Source organism: Homo sapiens, chromosome 6 (genome assembly GCF_000001405.40).
Source record: "Homo sapiens chromosome 6, GRCh38.p14 Primary Assembly".
Lineage (NCBI taxonomy): Eukaryota > Metazoa > Chordata > Mammalia > Primates > Hominidae > Homo > Homo sapiens.
Genome location: NC_000006.12, coordinates 139195710 through 139215553, shown reverse-complemented (window position 1 = coordinate 139215553; position 19844 = coordinate 139195710). Strand labels below are relative to the sequence as shown.

At 40.6% G+C, this 19844-nt stretch overlaps 1 protein-coding gene across 5 annotated transcripts in view; it reads left to right on the top strand.

Moving 5' to 3' along the window:
• Window positions 1–19844, top strand: part of TXLNB (taxilin beta) — a 164789-nt gene that overhangs the window by 108397 nt on the left and 36548 nt on the right. Inside the window, exons 12-13 of one of the 5 annotated variants that reach the window (XR_007059218.1) lie at window positions 11919–11979; window positions 13771–13879. The exons of 3 other annotated variants lie outside the window; for them this stretch is intronic. The gene's annotated coding sequence lies outside the window, so the exon portion shown is untranslated. The remainder of the gene's footprint in view (window positions 1–11918; window positions 11980–13770; window positions 13880–19844) is intronic. One more of the 5 variants, XR_007059219.1, reaches the window with a different exon arrangement.

The window sequence follows — 19844 nt, the reverse complement described above, 5'->3', positions numbered from 1 at the left end:
CCTGAATGGTATTGCCTAGGTTTTCTTCTAGGGTTTTTATGGTTTTAGGTCTAACATGTAAGTCTTTAATCCATCTTGAATTAATTTTTGTATAAGGTGTAAGGAAGGGATCCAGTTTCAGCTTTCTATATATGGCTAGCCAGTTTTCCAAGCACCATTTATTAAATAGGGAATCCTTTCCCCATTGCTTGTTTTTGTGAGGTTTGTCAAAGATCAGATAGTTGTAGATATGTGGCATTATTTCTGAGGGCTCTGTTCTGTTCCATTGGTCTGTATCTCTGTTTTGGTACCAGTATCTCTGTTTTGGTTACTGTAGCCTTGTCGTATAGTTTGAAGTCAGGTAGCGTGATGCCTCCAGCTTTGTTCTTTTGGCTTAGGATTGACTTGGCAATGCGGGCTTTTTTTTGGTTCCATATGAACTTTAAAGTAGTTTTTTCCAATTCTTTGAAGAAAGTCATTGGTAGCTTGATGGGGATGGCATTGAATCTATAAATTACCTTGGGCAGTATGGCCATTTTCACGATATTGATTCTTCCTACCCATGAGCATGGAATGTTCTTCCATTTGTTTGTATCCTCTTTTATTTCATTGAGCAGTGGTTTGTATTTCTCCTTGAAGAGGTCCTTCACATCCCTTGTAAGTTGGATTCCTAGGTATTTTATTCTCTTTGAAGCAATTGTGAATGGGAGTTCACTCATGATTTGGCTCTCTATTTGTCTGTTATTGGTGTATAAGAATGCCTGTGATTTTTGCACATTGATTTTGTATCCTGAGACTTTGCTGAAGTTGCTTATCAGCTTAAGGAGATTTTGGGCTGAGATGATGGGGTTCTAGATATACAATCGTGTCATCTGCAAAGAGGGACAATTTGACTTCCTCTTTTCCTAATTGAATGCCCTTTATTTCCTTCTCCTGCCTGATTGCCCTGGCCAGAACTTCCAACATTATGTTGAATAGGAGTGGTGAGAGAGGGCATCCCTGTCTTTTGCCAGTTTTCAAAGGGAGTGCTTCCAGTTTTTGTCCATTCAGTATGATATTGGCTATGGGTTTGTCATAGATAGCTCTTATTATTTTGAGATATGTTCCATCAATACCTAATTTATTGAGAGTTTTTAGCATGAAGGGCTGTTGAATTTTGTCAAAGGCCTTTTCTGCATCTATTGAGATAATCATGTGGTTTTTGTCTTTGGTTCTGTTTGTATGCTGGATTACGTTTATTGATTTGCATATGTTGAACCAGCCTTGCATCCCAGGGATGAAGCCCACTTGATCATGGTGGATAAGCTTTTTGATGTGTTGCTGGATTCAGTTTGCCAGTGTTTTATTGAGGATTTTTGCATCAATGTTCATCAAGGATATTGGTCTAAAATTCTCTTTTTTTGTTGTGTCTCTGCCAGGCTTTGGTATCAGGATGATGCTGGCCTCATAAAATGAGTTAGGGAGGATTCCCTCTTTTTCTATTGATTGGAATAGTTTCAGAAGGAATGGTACCAGCTCCTCCTTGTCCCTCTGGTAGAATTCGGCTGTGAATCCATCTGATCCTGGACTTTTTTTGGTTGGTAAGCTATTAATTATTGCCTCAATTTCAGAGCCTGTTATTGGTCTATTCAGAGATTCAACTTCTTCCTGGCTTAGTCTTGGGAGAGTGTATGTGTCGAGGAATTTATCCATTTCTTCTAGATTTTCTAGTTTATTTGCGTAGAGGTGTTTATAGTATTCTCTGATGGTAGTTTGTATTTTTGTGGGATCGGTGGTGATATCCCCTTTGTCATTTTTTATTGCGTTTATTTGATTCTTCTCTCTTTTCTTCTTTATTGGTCTTGCTAGTGGTCTATCAATTTTGTTGATCTTTTCAAAAAACCAGCTCCTGGATTCATTGATTTTTTGAAGGGTTTTTTGTGTCTCTATTTCCTTCAGCTCTGCTCTAATCTTAGTTATTTCTTGCCTTCTGCTAGCTTTTGAATGTGTTTGCTCTTGCTTCTCTAGTTCTTTTAATTGTGATGTTAGGGTGTCAATTTTAGATCTTTCCTGCTTTCTCTTGTGGGCATTTAGTGCTATAAATTTCCCTCTACACACTGCTTTGAATGTGTCCCAGAGATTTTGATATGTTGTGTCTTTGTTCTCATTGGTTTCAAAGAACATCTTTATTTCTACCTTCATTTCGTTATGTACCCAGTAGTCATTTAGGAGCAGGTTGTTCAGTTTCCATGTAGTTGAGCGGTTTTGAGTGAGTTTCTTAATCCTGAGTTCTAGTTTGATTGCACTGTGGTCCGAGAGACCGTTTGTTATAATTTCTGTTCTTTTACATTTGCTGAGGAGTGTTTTACTTCCAACTATGTGGTCAATTTTGGAATAGATGTGGTGTGGTGCTGAAAAGAATGTATATTCTGTTGATTTGGGGTGGAGAGTTCTGTAGATGTCTATTAGGTCTGCTTGATGCAGAGCTGAGTTCAATTCCTGGATATCCTTGTTAACTTTCTGTCTCATTGATCTGTCTAATGTTGACAGTGGGGTGTTAGTCTCCCATTATTATTGTGTGGGAGTCTAAGTCTCTTTGTAGGTCACTAAGGACTTGCTTTATGAATCTGGGTGCTCCTGTATTGGGTGCATATATATTTAGGATAGTTAGTTCTTCTTGTTGAATCGATCCCTTTACCATTATGTAATGGCCTTCTTTGTCTCTTTTGATCTTTGTTGGTTTAGAGTCTGTTTTATCAGAGACTAGGATTGCAACCCCTGCCTTTTTTTGTTTTCTATTTGCTTGGTGGATCTTCCTGCATCCCTTTATTTTGAGCCTATATGTGTCTCTGCATGTGAGATGGGTCTCCTGAATACAGCACACTGATGGGTCTTGACTCTTTATCCAATTTGCCAGTCTGTGCCTTTTAATTGGAGCATTTAGCCCATTTACATTTAAGGTTAGTATTGTTATGTGTGAATTTGATCCTGTCATTATGATGTTAGCTGGTTATTTTGCTCGTTAGTTGATGCAGTTTCTTCCTAGCCTCAATGGTCTTTACAATTTGGCATGTTTTTGCAGTGGCTGGTACCGGTTGTTCCTTTCCATGTTTAGTGCTTCCTTCAGGAACTCTTTTAGGGCAGGCCTGGTGGTGACAAAATCTCTCAGCATTTGCTTGTCTGTGAAGTATTTTATTTTTCCTTCACTTATGAAGCTTAGTTTGGCTGGATATGAAATTCTGGGTTGAAAATTCTTTTCTTTAAGAATGTTGAATATTGGCCCCCACTCTCTTCTGGCTTGTAGAGTTTCTGCTGAGAGATCAGCTGTTAGTCTGATGGGCTTCCCTTTGTGGGTAACCCGACCTTTCTCTCTGGCTGCGCTTAACATTTTTTCCTTCATTTCAACTTTGGTGAATCTGACAATTATGTGTCTTGGAGTTGCTCTTCTCGAGGAGTATCTTTGTGGTGTTCTCTGTATTTCCTGAATTTGAATGTTGGCCTGCCTTGCTAGATTGGGGAAGTTCTCCTGGATAATATCCTGCAGAGTGTTTTCCAACTTGGTTCCATTCTCCCTGTCACTTTCAGGTACACCAATTAGACGCAGATTTGGTCTTTTCACTAGTCCCATATTTCTTGGAGGCTTTGTTCATTTCTTTTTATTCTTTTTTCTCTAAACTTCTCTTCACAGTTCATTTTATTCATTTCGTCTTCCATCGCTGATACCCTTTCTTCCAGTTGATCGCATCGGTTACTGAGGCTTGTGCATTTGTCACGTAGTTCTTGTGCCGTGGTTTTCAGCTCCATTAGGTCCTTTAAGGACTTCTCTGCATTGGTTATTCTAGTTATCCATTCGTCTAATTTTTTTCAAAGTTTTTAACTTCTTTGCCATTGGTTCAAACTTCCTCCTTTAGCTTGGAGTGGTTTGATCTTCTGAAGCCTTCCTCTCTCAACTCGTCAAAGTCATTCTCCATCCAGCTTTGTTCCGTTGCTGGTGAGGAGCTGCGTTCCTTTGGAGGAGGAGAGGCGCTCTGATTTTTAGAGTTTCCAGGTTTTCTGCTCTGTTTTTTCCCCATCTTTGTGGTTTTATCTACCTTTGGTCTTTGATGATGGTGACGTACAGATGGGTTTTTGGTGTAGATGTCCTTTCTGTTTGTTAGTTTTCCTTCTAACAGTCAGGATCCTCAGCTGCAGGTCTGTTGGAGTTTACTGGAAGTCCACTCCAGACCCTGTTTGCCTGGGTATCAGCAGCGGGGGCTACAGAACAGCAGATATTGGTGAACCGCAAATGCTGCTGCCTGTTCGTTCCTCTGGAAGTTTTGTCTCAGAGGAGTACCCAGCCGTGTGAGGTGTCAGTCCGCCCCTACTCGGGGGTGCCTCCCAGTTAGGCTACTCAGGGGTCAGGGACCCACTTGAGGAGGCAGTCTGCCCGTTCTCAGATCTCAAGCTGCATGCTGGGAGAACCACTACTCTCTTCAAAGCTGTCAGACAGGGACATTTAAGACTACAGAGGTTATTGCTGTCTCTTGTTTGTCTGTGCCCTGCCCCCAGAGGTGGAGCCTACAGAGGCAGGCAGGCCTCCTTGAGCTGTGGTGGGCTCCACCCAGTTTGAGCTTCCTGCCGCTTTGTTTACCTACTCAAGCCTGAGCAGTGGCAGGTGCCCCTCCCCCAGCCTCACTGCCACCTTGCAGTTTGATCTCAGACTGCTGCGCTAGTAATGAGTGAGGCTCCGTGGGCGTAGGACCCTCCGAGCTAGGCGCGGGATATAATCTCCTGGTGTGCCGTTTGCTAAGACCATTGGAAGAGCGCAGTATTAGGGTGGGAGTGACCCGATTTTCCAGGTGCCATCTGTCACCCCTTTCTTTGACTAGGAAAGGGAATTCCCTGACCCCTTGCACTTCCCGGGTGAGGCGATGCCTCGCCCTGCTTTGGCTCACGCACGGTGCACTGCACCCACTGTCCTTCACCCACTGTCCGGCATTCCCCAGTGAGATGAACCCAGTACCTCAGTTGGAAATGCAGAAATCACCCATCTTCTGCGTCGCTCACGCTAGGAGCTGTAGACTGGAGCTGTTCCTATTCGGCCATCTTGGCTCCACCCACATTTTCTTTATCTACTTGTTGGTTGATGGGCATTTAGGTTGGTTCCATATTTTTGCAATTGTGAATTGTGCTGCTGTAAACATGTGTGTGCATGTGTCTTTTTAATAAAATGAATTCTTTTCCTTTGGGTAGATACCCAGTAGTGGGATTGCTAGATTGGATGGTAGTTCTACTTTTTGTTCTTTAAGGGATCTCCATACTGTTTTTCATAGTGGTTGAACTAGTTTACATTCCCACCAGCAGCATAAAAGTGTTCCCTCTCACCACACCCCCCTCCAACATCTGTTTTTTTTTAAATTTTTTATTTATGGACATTCTTGCAGGAATAAGGTGGTAGCTCATTGTGGTTTTAACTTGCATTTTCCTCATAATTAGTGATGTTGAGCATTTTTTCATATGTTTGTTGGCTGTTTGTGTATCTTCTTTTGACAATTGTCTATTCATATTCTTTGCCCACTTTTTGATGGGAGTATTTTTTCTTGTTGATTTGTTTGAGTTCCTTGTAGATTCTGGATATTAATCCTTTGTCAGATGCATAGTTTACAAATATTTTCTCTCATTCTGTGGGTTGTCTGTTTACAACACTGAATACTTCTTTTGCTATGCAGAATCTTTTTGGTTTAATTAGGTCCCATTTATTTTTGTTTTTGTTGCATTTGCTTTTGAGTTCTTAGTCATGAATTCTTTGTCTATGCCAATGTCTAAAAGAGTTTTTCCAATGTTATCTTCTAGAATTTTTATGGTTTCAGGTCTTACATTTAAGTCTTTGATCCACCCTGAGTTGATTTTTGTATAAGGTGAGAGATGAGGATCCAGTTTCTTTCTTCTACATGTGGCTTGCCAGTTTTCCTAGCACCTTTTATTGAATAGGGTATCCTTTCCCCACTTTATCTTTTTGTAAGCTTTGTCAAAGATCAGTTGGCTATTAGTATTTGGCTTTATTTCTGGGTTCTCTATTCTGTTCCATTGGTCTACATACATGATTTGTTCTTTTAGCTTAGCCTTCCTTTGGCTAGGTGGGCTCTTTTTTGGTTCCATATGAATTTTAGGTGTGTTTCTTCTAGTTCTGTGAAGTAGGATGATAGTATTTTGATGGGAATTGCATTAAATCTGTAGATTGCTTTTGGCAGTATGGTCATTTTCACAATATTAATTCTACCCATCCATGAACATGGGATGTGTTTCCATTTGTGCCATCTATGATTTCTTTCCGCAGTGTTTTGTAGTTTTCCTTGTAGAGATCTTTCACCTCCTTGATTAGGTATATTCCTAAGTTTTTGTTTGTTTGTTTGTCTTTTACAGCTATTGTAAAAGAGGTTGAGTTCTTGATTTGATTCTCAGCTTGGTCATTGTTGGTGTATAGTAGGATTAGTGATTTGTGTACATTAATTTTGTATCCTGAAATATCGCTGAATTCATTTACCAGTTCTAGGAGCTTTTTGAATGAGTCTTTAGGGTTTTCTAGATATACGATCATGTCATCAGCAAACACCTACATTTTGACTTCCTCTTTACCGATTTGGATGTCCTTTATTTCCTTCTCTTATCTAACTGCTATGGCTAGGACTTCCAGTACTATGTTGAATGGAAGTGGTGAAAGTGGGCATCCTTGTCTTGTTCCAGTTCTCAAGGGGAATGCTTTCAACTTTTCCCCATTCAGTATAATATTGGCTGTGGGTTGTCACATATGGCTTTTATTACCTTCAGCTATGTCCCTTCTATGGCAATTTTGCTGAAGGTTTTTATAAAAAAGGGATGCCAGATTTTGTCAAATGCTTTCCTGTATCTATTGAGATGATCACATGATTTTTGTTTTTAATTGTGTTTATGTGATATATCACATTTACTGACTTGCATATGTTAAACCATCCCTGTAAACCCATATGAAACCCACTTGATCATGGTGGATTATGTTTTTGAAGGGCTTTTGAATTTGGTTAGCTAGTATTTTGTTGAGGATTTTTGCATCTATGTTCATCACAGATATTGGTCTGTAGTTTTCTTTTTTTGTTATGTCCTTTTCTGGCTTTGGTATTAGGATGATATTGGCTTCATAGAATGATTTAGGAAGGATTCCCTCTTTCTCTATCTTTTGGAATAGTTTCAGGATTGTCACGAATTCTTTTTTAGATGTCTGGTAGAATTCAGCAGTGAATCCATCTGGTACTGTACTTTTTTTGTTGGTAATTTTTTAAATTACTGATTCAATCTCATTGCTTGCTATTGGTCTGTTTAGAGTTTCCATTTTTTTCCTGATTTAATCTAGAAGGGTTGTATATTTTCAGGAATTTATCCATCTCCTCTAGATTCCTAGTTTGTGTACATAAAGGTGTTCATAGTAGTCTTGAATGATCTTTTGTATTTCTGTGGTATTGGCTGTAATATTTCCAGTTTCTCTCTCTCTCTCTTTTTTTTTGTTTGAGACTGAGTCTCACTCTGTCATCCAGGCTGGAGTGCAGTGGTGCGATCTCGGCTTACTGCAACCTCCACCTCCCAGGCCCAAGCAATTCTCATACGTCAGCCTCCTGACTAGCTGGGATTATAGGTGCGCACCACCATGCCCAGCTAATTTTTGTACTTTTAGTAGAAACAGCATTTTGCCATGTTGGCCAGGCTGGTCTCAACTTCCTGGCCTCAAGCAATCTGCCCACCTCGGCCTCCCAAAGTGCTGGGATTACAAGCGTGAGCCACCGCGCCTGGCCCTATTTCATTTCTAATTGAACTAGATTGGATCTTCTCTCTTCTTTTCTCAGTTAGTCTCACTAACGGGCCATCAATTTTGTTGCTCTTTTCAAAGAACCAACTTTTGGTTCATTTATTGTTTGTAGTTCTTTTTGTTTCAATTTTATTTCAGTCTGCTATGATCTTTGTTATTTCTTTTCTTCTGCTGGGCTTGTATTTAGTTTGTTCTTGTTTCTCTAGTTCTTTGAGATGTGACATTGGGTCGTCTATTTGCGCTCTTTCAGACTTTTTGATGTAGATGTTTAATGCTATGAACTTTCCTCTTAGCACTGCTTTTGCTGTATCCCAGAGGTTTTGATAAGTTGTGTCACTATTATCATTCATTTCAAAGAATTGTTTAATTTCCATCTTGATTTCATTATTAATCCAAAGATCATTCAAGGGCAGATTATTTACTTTCCATGTATTTGTATAGTTCTGAGGATTCCTTTTGGAGTTAACTTCCAATTTTATTCCATTGTGGTCTGAGAAGGTCCTTGATATGATTTTGACTTTCTTAAATGTATTAAGACTTGTTTTGTGGCCTATCATATGGTCTATCTTGGAGAATATTCCACATGCTGATGAGAATAATGAATATTCTGCAGTTATTGGGTAGAATTTTCTATAAATATCTGTTAGGTCCATTTGTTCTAGGGTGTAGTTTAAGTCTATTTTTTCTCTGTTGACTTTCTGTCTTGATGATCTGCCTACTGCTGTCAGTGGAGTACTGAAGTCCCGCACTATTATTTTGTTCCTATCCATCTCATTTCTTAGGTCTCGTAGTAATTATTTTATAAATTTGGGAGCTCCAGTGTTAGGTGCATATGTAATATCTTCCTGTTGGACTAATCCTTCTATCACTATATAATGTCCTTCTTTGTCTGTTTTTACAGTTGTTGGTTTAAAGTCTGCTTTATCTAAGAATAACTACTGCTGCTCGCTTTTGGTTTCCATTTGTGTGGAATATCTTTTTCCACCCCTTTACCTTAAGTCTATGTGAGGTCTTATGTGTTAGGTAAGTCTCATGAAGACAGCAGACACTTGGTTGGTAGGTTTTTTTAAATCCATTCTGCCATTCTGTATCTTTTTTTTTTTTTTGAGATGGAGTCTCACTCTGTCGCCCAGGCTGGGGTGCAGTGGCGCGATCTCAGCTAACTACAACCTCCGCCTCTGCCTCCTGGGTTGAAGCGATTCTCCTGCCTCAGCCTCCCAAGTAGCTGGGAATACAGGCACATGCCACCACGCCTGGCTAATTTTTTGTGTTTTTAGTAGAGATGGGGTTTCACCATGTTAGCTAGGATGGTCTCAATCTCCTGACTTCGTGATCCGCCCACCTTGGCCTCCCAAAGTGCTGGGATTACAGGCTTGAGCCACCATGCCCCTGACCCATTCTGTATCTTTTAGGTGGAGCATTTAGGTCATTTACATTCAATGTTAGTATTGAGATGTGAGGTACTGTTCTATTCATCATGTTAGTTGTTGCCTAAATACCTTGTTTTTTATCATTGTGTTATTATTTTATAGGCCCTGTGAGACTCATGCTTTCAGAATGCTTGATTTTACTGTATTTTCAGGTTTTGTTTCAAGACTTAGAAGCCCTTTTAGCATTTCTTGTAGTGCCGGTTTGGTAGTGGCAAATTCTCTAAGCATTTGTTTGTTTGCAAAAGACTTTATCTCTCCTTCATTTACGAAGCTTAGTTTTGCTGGATACAAAATTCTTGGATGACAATTATTTTGTTTCAGGAAGTTAAAGATAGGATCCCAATCCCTTCTAACTTGTAAGGTTTCTGCTGAGGAATCTGCTGTTAATCTGATAAGTTTTCCTTTATACGTTACCTGATGCTTTTGTCTCATAGCTCTTTAGATTCTTTCCTTCATCTTGACTTTAGATAACCTGATGACTATGTTCCTTGGTGATGGTCTTCTGGTGATGACTTTTCCAGGAGAGCTTCTTATAGCTGGATGTCTAGATTCCTAGCAAAGCCAGGGAAGTTTTTCTCAGTTATTCCCTCAAATAGGTTTTCCAAACTTATAGGTTTCTCTTCTTCCTCTGGAACACCAAATATTCTTAGGTTTGGACATTTTACTTAATCCCATATTTCTTGGAGACTTTGTTCTTTTTTTTTTCTTTTCTTTTTTCTTTGTCTTTGTCTGATTGGGTTAATTCAAAAGCCTTTTCTTCCAGCTCTGAAATTCTTTCTTCTACTTGTTCTAGTCTATTGTAGAAACTTTCCACTCCATTTTGTATTTTGCTAAGTGTGTCTTTCATTTCCAGATGTTCTGAATGTTTTTTTCTCTATGATATCTATTTCTCTGGAAAATTTTTCATCCATATCCTGGACTATTTTTTAAATTTCTTTAAGTAGCCCGTAATCCCAGCACTTTGGGAGGCTGAGGCGGGTGGATTACTTGAGGTCAGGAGTTTGAGACCAGCCTGGCCAACATGGTATAACCCCATCTCTACTAAAAATAAAAAATTTGCCAGGTGTGGTGGTGCATGCCTGTAATCCCAGTTACTCAGGAGTCTGAGGCAAGAGAATTGCTTGAACCCAGAGGGCTGCCAAGAGTTGCTGTAATGCCCTGACTTGGTTGGCCTCCAGCCAGGAGGTGGCGCTTGCAAGAGAGCACCAGCTGTGGCAGTAACAGTGGGATGTGAGCTTGCCCTAAGTTGGCCAGGGGAAGTATTCTGGTTTCTCAGGCAATGGGCTCCCAAGAGTTTATGTCCTTTGTGTTAAGCTCTCAGGGCAGGTAGAGAAATACCATCAGGTGAGGGCAGGGTTAGGCAGGTCTGAGCTCAGACTCTCCTTGGGCAGGGCTTGCCACAGCCACTGTGGGGATGGGGGGTGGTTCTCAGGCCATCGGGATAATGTTCCATAGGGGAGTACAATTGACTCTGGTATACAGTAGAGTTTACAAGGGGAGTGGAGAATAGCTGGGTGAATGATAGGCCTCACCCAGCTCCCATGCAGTTGGCGAGGCTGGTCTCAATCCTGCAATGCCCTGCTAACAGTGCTGGGTTTAGATCCAGGCAGCCTGCACATAGAACTCAGACCTGCCCCAGGCTATAAGCTTCTGCACTGAGAAAGCAAGCAGGGCTTTTAGGCTTCATCCCTCCCATCTGCCCACAATGCCAGGTGCCTAGCTCCTGTGCTTGTGTCTGCAGCACACTTCCCACTTGCCCCCCAGATTCTGATCAAGGGAGTTCATGCCCACTCAAAATCCTGTCACAAAATTCAGTTGGGAGCTTCTTTCACCCTGTGACCCCTCCCTGGGTCCACTGGCTGCCTTCCCCAAAGGCCTCTATGAGATATAGTTAGGGATGGCTTCCCTGGGCTCGAGCTGGAGAATGGGAGTGCTGCAGAGTGGGAGTGCTGCAGAGTGCCTCCATCAAGAAGAATATAACAATTAGGACATTAGGCTGGGAGCAGTGGCTCATGCCTGTAATCCCAGTACTTTGGGAGGGCGAGGTGGGTGCATCACAAGGTCAGGAGTTCAACACCAGCCTGGCCAACATGGTGAAACCCCATCTCTACTAAAAAATGCAAAAATTAGCCGGGCATGGTAGCCCTAGTGGGCACCTGTAATCCCAGCTACTTGGGAGGCAGAGGCAGGAGAATTGCTTGAACCTGGGAGGTGGAGGTTGCAGTGAGCTGAGATCGTGCCACTGCACTCCAGCCTGGGTGACAGAGCAAGACTCCTTCTCGAAAAAAAAAAAAATTAGGACATTAATGGAAACTTCATTTCAGCAAGCTGTCTAACATGTCAGAGAATAGAGAGATGCACTTGAAGTTTAGAGAAGCACAGTTTGCTCTAAACCAAGGCTTTAAATAGGAATGTTTTTTTAAAAAATTCATACATATACCAGAACACCGATGAATTTTTTTTCCTCTTGTCCCAATTTCAACTCAAGTCCCTAAGTATAAATGCTAAGGTACCTCACATTCTGGAGTGGAACTGGACTGTCTTTGCAGAAATTTTAGGAAGTGGCCTCAAATCACCATCAGTGGTCTGTCAACCACATTTAGCTTATATTTGAGAAAACATGAATGATGAAGAGGGGAAACACTGATGGGTGTGGATGACTTTGAGGAGAATTGTTAGACTGCTGAGCAATTTCTCTCTTCTTCCTTTGACAGGGTGCATAGTATGAGAAGACTTAAGAGATGGGTAGAGAAAAACTAAAAAGCATCCAGAGAGGTAGGGGAAAAAAAGCCAGAAGAGTACATTGTCATGGAAACCAAGGGAAGAAAGTGTTTCAAGAAAAAGGGAGTAGGCAGCTTTATCAGGTGCTGCTGAGAGGTTAAGCTAAGAAATGAAAAGCACTTATTGTATTTAGCAATTATGGGACATTGGCTTCCTTGATTAGAGCAATTTTCCCCCGAGTGGTAAGGGTGGAAGTGAGATTGCAGTAGGTGAAGCACTAATGAGAGAAAATCCAGACAATTCTTTGAATTAGGCTGTGAAAGGAGAGAGAAAGGCTAGTAACTGAAGGTACATGTAAATTCCAGGGAAGAACTTTTAAGATTTAAATATAAGAATATATTTATCCAAAGGAAAGAAAATATGTGTAGCGAAGAGATATCTGCACCCCCACATTTATTGCAGCATTATTCATAATAGACATATTGTCATAATAGACAATACATGGAATCAACCTAAGGGTCCATCAGCAGATGACTGGATAAAGAAAATGTGGTATTTATATACAAATAATGGAATACTATTCAGTCATAATAAAGAATGAAATCCAGTCTTTCACAGCAACATGAATGAGATTAGAGGATATTAAGTGAAATGAGCCAGGCACAGAAAGATAAATACTGTGTGTTCTCACTCATATGTGGGAGCTTAAAAAGTTCTGCTCATAGAAGTAGAGAATAGAATGATAGTTACTAGAAGCTGGGAAGGCAGGGAGGGATGATAGGGAGAGGCGGTTTACAGATACAAAATTACAGCTAGATAGAAGGAATAAATTCTAGTGTTCTATACTGCTATAAGGTGACTAGTTAACAATAATTTCTTGTATATTTTCAAACAACTAGAAGAGATGATTTTGAATGTTTCTAACACAAAAAATGATAAATGTTGGAGGTGATGGATATGCTAATTATCCTGAATTGATGATTATACATTGTATACATGTATCAAAATATCACACTGTACTTTATAAATATGTACAATTATTACATGTCAATTTTAAAAGATTTACGAGAAAAATAAGAGTATAAAGCACTCAAGGAAAATTAACCTGCAATGTCATATGTACTACACAGAGACAATATCCTACAGCATAGTGAAAGCTGTGGGTCTTGAAGAGCTATATGTACATACACGTAAGTTTTTAATAATCTTTAAAACAAAGATCAAAGTTTATTTGTTTAGGTCCCATTACACAACCAAAATAAAAATAAAATATAAAAGAGACCAAATGATTGAAGTTTGAAATTCCTAAAATGGCCAATTTGTACAATAGTGGAAAATTTGATCAAGGTTTCTGAGAAGTCCAGGGCTTTTTCAGCTAAACCAGAGGTCACATGATTTGCATCACTGAAATGGTTCTTGGTTAGTCCAGTAGAAAAGAATGTACAACCACGTATACATGGATATGATCTATGCCAGTTAGATTCCTGATAAAGTCAGTCTGGGACAGGTTTCTGAACTGTACTATGTAACTAGATACAACTGAGAAACTTTCAAATGGAAATTTCATATGGCATCATTTCAATCAAAAGAAATAATAAAACTAAAAATATGTATCACTATTAGAAGAGAAAGCAGTGGTTATGGTGTGGGTACTGCAGTAAGTGACTGGCCGTAGCATGCTAGGAAGGTAATGTTGTAACGAGTAGGAAGCAGTTAATTTTCCCCGGTGTTTTCAGCTTTGAGGCCAGTCTAAGGCTTTTCTCCAGCATGTTTATAGCAAGGTGTTTGAGTCAGCCAGTGTGAGCAGGGTAATGCTTTCTGTCTTCCATTTCTTTTTTCACACAGCCAAATAAAAATACAGACAAACCAACCAACCAAGCACTGACGAGCCAGTAAAGAGGGAACTGTCGGGGAATCAGGGCTGAGAGAATCTCTGATACAGCAGCGGAAATAGGTAAAATGTACTAGCATTAGAGAAGTGTCAAAAGACAAAAATCTCAACAAATTTAGTTAAATGATTTAATTGGCATTTACTTGCAATTCATGAATTGGGCAGCATCTCACCTAGAAATAGGCACTATGCCAGAGGCATGTTGGAGCAGTCAATTTTTGTAAGGTAGCTTGAGCAGGAACAAAAAAAAAACAACATAATACAAAGAGTGGATTGGTTAACATCAGGTTATAAGGGTTAAAGCAGGAGGGAATTCCTTATCGTGCCAGCTAACACTGGCCTATTTGGGGAATTTGTCTATCATCTCTCCTGATTTTTTGGAAGGTCAGATTACCAATTTAGTTTCAGTTTGGTGATGTGGAGCTTCAGCGTGAGTGACTCCATTTTGATTCTGTCTGTTCTATTGGGGCCTGATGCAGGAGCTCAGTCCAAAACACTGGCCTCCATCAATTTCACTTCACAGGAAATTGGACAACTCTTTAAAGATAAGAAAGATGGAATAAAGTTCCAGATATTGTGAAGTTTGGTAATTTGGTGGCAAGAAGTTGAAGGATTTTTTAATTTATTTCAATGTAAAGTAAAAGGCAAGGTTATCTCCTGTGAATGAGGAAGAGGGGTTGGTGGGTTGGGTTTAAAGAGAATCAAGAAGAGATTTAAATATAAAAGCTGCCAGGAAGAATAGGGGAGGAAAAATGATTAAAAGAGCATGAGACTGTAGATCTATTGAGACTGGATAGAGACCAGGAAGGTAAAATGACCCAGATGCATGGTATGGGGTGTTCTCCAGCAGCTGCCCAGGCTATGACTAGGCTCAAGGAAGGCAGCCCAAAGTTGGTGTTTTGTCACTGCAGTTACAAGGGGTAACAAGAAAAATATTGACAAGATGGGAATTGAAACACTAGGTCATGAAATTTAGGCTGGACTGGGGTATCAGTCCCTCAATAAATCTTTGTTAACAGGGAAGTGAAAGAAAATAGAAACCTAATGGAGACATCCCACCAACCTAATCACTGAGCCCTACTGATTTTACATCCCAAATCTCTGTCCATTCTCTCCACCTCTCTCCACTTCCACTCTCACTACATGGTCACCAGCATCTCTTACCTCCTGACTCATCTCCCGACATCCACCATTGATCATGGCATCCCAAAATTACTTATTAAATACCTAAATCTTCATTGTTTTTCCCTGCTCAATATCCTTCCATGGTGTGCTAGACAGGGTCCTCGCTAAACATGGAGGTCCTTTGACCACGCTACATAAGGCATGGTCTTTTATTTCTCTCACCCTATGGGTACTCTTATCTGCCATGCTCCAGGTAGCAAATGTCCCTCTTAAAATATATAGCCTAGATCGTAGACACCAAGACAGGATTAAACATGCAATGGTATTATTAGGGGAGATGCCTGTGAGAGAAAATAGAGAAACAGAAGACACTGGAAGAGCTCTCGGTACACAATGCAGATCTGGCCGCAAGTGTAGAAGAGAGGGAAGGAAGGTGGGAGAGCCCTGGATTACCAGGGAGCCTGAGGAAAAGCTGGCAAGGCTGCAGGGGAGTCCTCAGCTAAGGATGGCCTTCAAAGGAGTCCCATATCTTCCAGGAATGGGCCCGCCTTGATCACCTGGCTGTGCTCAGCTACTGGCTGGAGCTACCTATGAAAGCCTCAGAGCAAAGACATTGATAGATTTCAGAGCACTGTTGCTGGGCCCCGGTATGATTTTGCTTCCTGTCATTGGAGGTCTGTGAGGCCCATTCTTAGAGATACGAGAAATCGCTTCCCATTAAAGTCTTAAAATTGAGTCTTAAATCCTTAAAAAAGCATCATGAACCCTATAAATTTTAGTCTCCACCCACCACTCAAGCCTTACCCCACCCCACTTTTTTACTGCTCCGGTCATACCAGGCTTCTCTCAATTCTAGAAATGCACCATGCTCTAGAAAGGCACCAATCAAGGCCTTTATTAATTCAGCATCCCTTACCAGCAAAGCTCACTCTGATCCCATCACCACCTATGCCTGGCTATATTTTTACTGAGGCTTTGCTCATATCTTTGCTTAGATGCCATCTCCCCAACTCCTCTGCCTATCTCCCCCAGCTTGGGTTCAATGCACTATTATGTGTAGCAGTGAGTTCTTCTCCTTTTTAGAGGAGTCACTTGAGCAATGGTCTGTCTGGCATCTGAATTTCCTGCCAGATGAGGTGGCTCCACAGCAGCAGAGCCTGTCTGCTCATTCACCACTGGACCCCAGGGCCAAACCCAGGGTGATGCTCAAGAAATGTTCAATAACACATTTGACTGACTGGTAAAAGGACATCAGGTAGACAGCAGCTGTTAGCAAGAAATTGGTAGAGTCGCAGGTTTAGAATGCTAGATAAGCTTGAAGCTTAGGAGAAAGAACTTAGTGAAAAACCTAGAACAGGAAGATTAGAAAGGAAAATTTTAAAAAATAATTTAGTTTGCAAAAAAAAATTAAGGCAAAGATCTTACTAACAATATGATCATTTTGCTGAACGGAGTGTGAATCTAGGATCTAAATATAGATATTTTTCTAACAACATGGGCCCTGTAGGCTACACCAGTCAGGATTAAATTTAGCTGCATACAGCAGGAAACCTAAATATGAACCTTTATCGGTTGGGGATCCCAGCATGAAAGAGATGGCACATTGACATTTTGGGCTGGATGATTTAAAAAAAAAAAAAAGGAAGAAAGAAACAGATGGCATATTCGAAAGAGTTTAGCTGAAACAAAGTTTAAAGAAGCCAGTATTTATAGAGGTATGGACAGGGTTCAGGAAACAAAGAGGAATGATGACGCTCCCTGGGGTTAGCAGCAGTGGGAGGCCATTACCACCCCTAGGCTGAGGGGATGGTGTGAATGGAGCCCATCAAGAGCTGCAGCCTGGGAGGAAGGGCTGCTGAGCAGGTGCTATGGCCATAGAGGAACAGAGCCTCTGCTAGACCCAAGACAATGCAAGCAGGGAGTGGGGAAAATTATCCTTCCCTTCTCCTGCATTGGTCTCCTGCCATGCACCTCAATTGGCCAAAACCAATTGGAAGCCAGAGAGCAATGGACCTTCCTAGGGCACAGATTATGGAAGACAGAGTAGAGGAGGGATCTTGGGGAGAGGGCTGCAAAAGGAAAATAACCAACACAACAGCTTATCTGTCTCACATTGTAACAATCTGGAGGTAGGCACCCCGGCCTGAGATGCTGGCTCCAGGGTCCTCAGGAGCCCAGGCTTCCTTCCTTATAGTCACCTCCCATTCCAAGATGACTTCTGGAGCTCCTGACCTCTCACTCTTTTTCCAGGAAGCAAGAAGGAGAAAGGAGAGAAGGGGTACCTTCCAGTTGAGTAGGGCCTCTTTAAGAAGTTCCCCAGCAGCCCTACCCAAGACTTCCACATAGATTTAGTATTTTGTCTGGGCATGTTGCTTCCCAGAACAAAATCCAGGTTTATTAGTTAAAAAAAAAAAAAAGTACAATGGATATTGAGTAGGCCCTCCTAAAACAATGCTTGAGGAAACATTGCCAGAAATAGTTTTACTGAAAGATGGTAGGAGTTTTCTCAGGGATTTTTTGTTTGTTTGTTTATGCTGCCTCTTATACCAACTGATATGGTTTGAATGTTTGTCCCCTCCAAAACTCATGTTGAAATTTACTTGGCCAGTGTAACAGTACTCATGGGTGAGAACTTAAGAGATGATTAGGCCATAAGAGTTATGACCTCATGGGTGGGATTAATGCCATATAAAAGGAGAGTTCAGCCCACTTTTACATCTTGGTCCTTCTGCCTTCTGCCAAGTGAGAATCCAGCCTTCCTCCCCTCCAGAGGATGTAGCATGCAGGGTGCCATCTTGGAAAAAGAGAATGGCTTCAGCAGACACCGAACTTGCTGGAGCCTTAACCTTAGACTTCTCAGCCTCCAGAAATATGAGTCAATAAATTTCTGTTCATTATGAATTATCCAGTCTCAGGTATTCTGTGATAGCAGCACAAATGGACTAAGACACTGACTTAATAACCTAACATCTGTTTGGGTTCCTCAGATTCCTGATTCCTCTGTATAACTTTCCTAGATTACAGAGACCTTTTTATTTACATTTACGTCGTCTTAGTCACATAATTGTCAAGGAATATTTGTCAATCAATGATTGATTGATTTCTGTAACTGATTGTAATGTATCATACCTCCAACTAGTGAAAGATGAAAAGTCTTCATTGACACACTCAAGAAATATTTATTGAGTGCTTACTAGGTGCCACGTACTACTCCAGATACTGGGAATACAGCAGTGAACAAATAAAATCACTGTCTGCATGGAGCTTGCATTATAGTGAGGAAAACAGACAACAAATATGATACATAAATATAATATACAGGATGTTAGTTGGTCATAAGTGCCTTGGACAAAAATAAAACCAGTAGGGGAAATAGGAGGTTAGGCAGCAGCTGCATTTTCAACAGTCAGAAAAGACCTAATTGAGAAAAACACATCTCAGTAAAACTCTATAAGAGTGTGTGATCTAGAGATAACTGAAGGGAGAGTAGAACAGTAAAAGAGAATAGTAAGGGTAGTTCCCTGAAGGGATATAATAGGTGGAATAATAACCCCCCACCCCCAAAGCTGTCCATCCCCTAATCCCTAGAACCTGTGAACATGTTAGGTTATAGGGCAAAGATTAATGAAAATTGCAGACAGAATCAAGATTGCTAGTCAGCTGACCTTAAAATAAGGGAATTATTCTGGATTATTGGGTGGGCCCAATATACTCACAAAGGTCCTTAAAAGTGAACATGGCTTGAATTCATTTATTTTTTTTCAGAATTGGAATTAAGAAAATAACCAAAGATAGTATAGAACTCAATGAGTGTTTTTGATGTCTTAGAAACTGCTATCTTGGCTGAGGTTTTAATTTACCTTTTAATTGACTATAAGGGACATTGCAGTAATATTTCCTATAAGTTCTATATATTTATTAAGGTTTAAAGAGATCTGGGCCGGGTGTAGTGGCTCATGCCTGTAATCCCAGCACTTTGGGAAGCTGAGGCAGGTGGATCGCCGAAGTCAGGAGTTCGAGACCAGCCTGGCCAACATAGTGAAATCCCATCTCTACTAAAAATACAAAAACTTAGCTGGGTATGGTGGTGGGCACCTGTAATCCCAGCTACTAGGGAGGCTGAGGCAGGAGAATAGCTTGAACCTGGGACGCAGAGGTTGCAGTGAGCCAAGATCACACCATTGCACTCCAGCCTGGGCAACAAGAGCGAAACTCCATCTCAAAAAAAAAAAAAAAAAAAAAAAAAACCAGATCTGGAGATACAGTAGCTATGACTTCCTTTATTATTATAAAAATAGTATGATAAGGATTAACAACAATAGCAATAATCATTATTGCTACTACTATTTTCTAAACTCTCATGTTCCAAACACTCTTAGTTGCTGGAAATTTTGCTTCAAATATGTTTTAATGTATCCATGGAAGATTTATTATATGGCTTAATTGGAGCATTTAAGATTACTGCAACCTATATGGTAGATTCCTTTCCTTTTTTGTCTTATCTCACCCTTTCCTCCCCAAAGAAAATATTTGCTGCTGACAACTATTATGTCTTACCTGTGCATTTTCAATGTTATTTTTGAGGTCTGGTGTCATTCACAGTAGAGTGGTTAGGGACCATCAGCAATTTCCTAGAAGAGTATGTTGGATTCTTTAGAAGATCCCATCTAGTGGATTTTTAGAGAACATGATGGGAAAAATGTCATCTTTAGTTCACCTCAGCAGACGTATTTGGAGAAAACAGCAAAACAAGCAGAAGAACAAAGGGAAAATTGACCAATTCCTCAATATAACCATTATTCAAGGAAATAACTCAAGTTAGCATACAAAGTCATCACTGAGCTTTTAATATCCAGTATTTTCTCAACTTAACCATGCAACTACAATTATGGCATCAACTTGA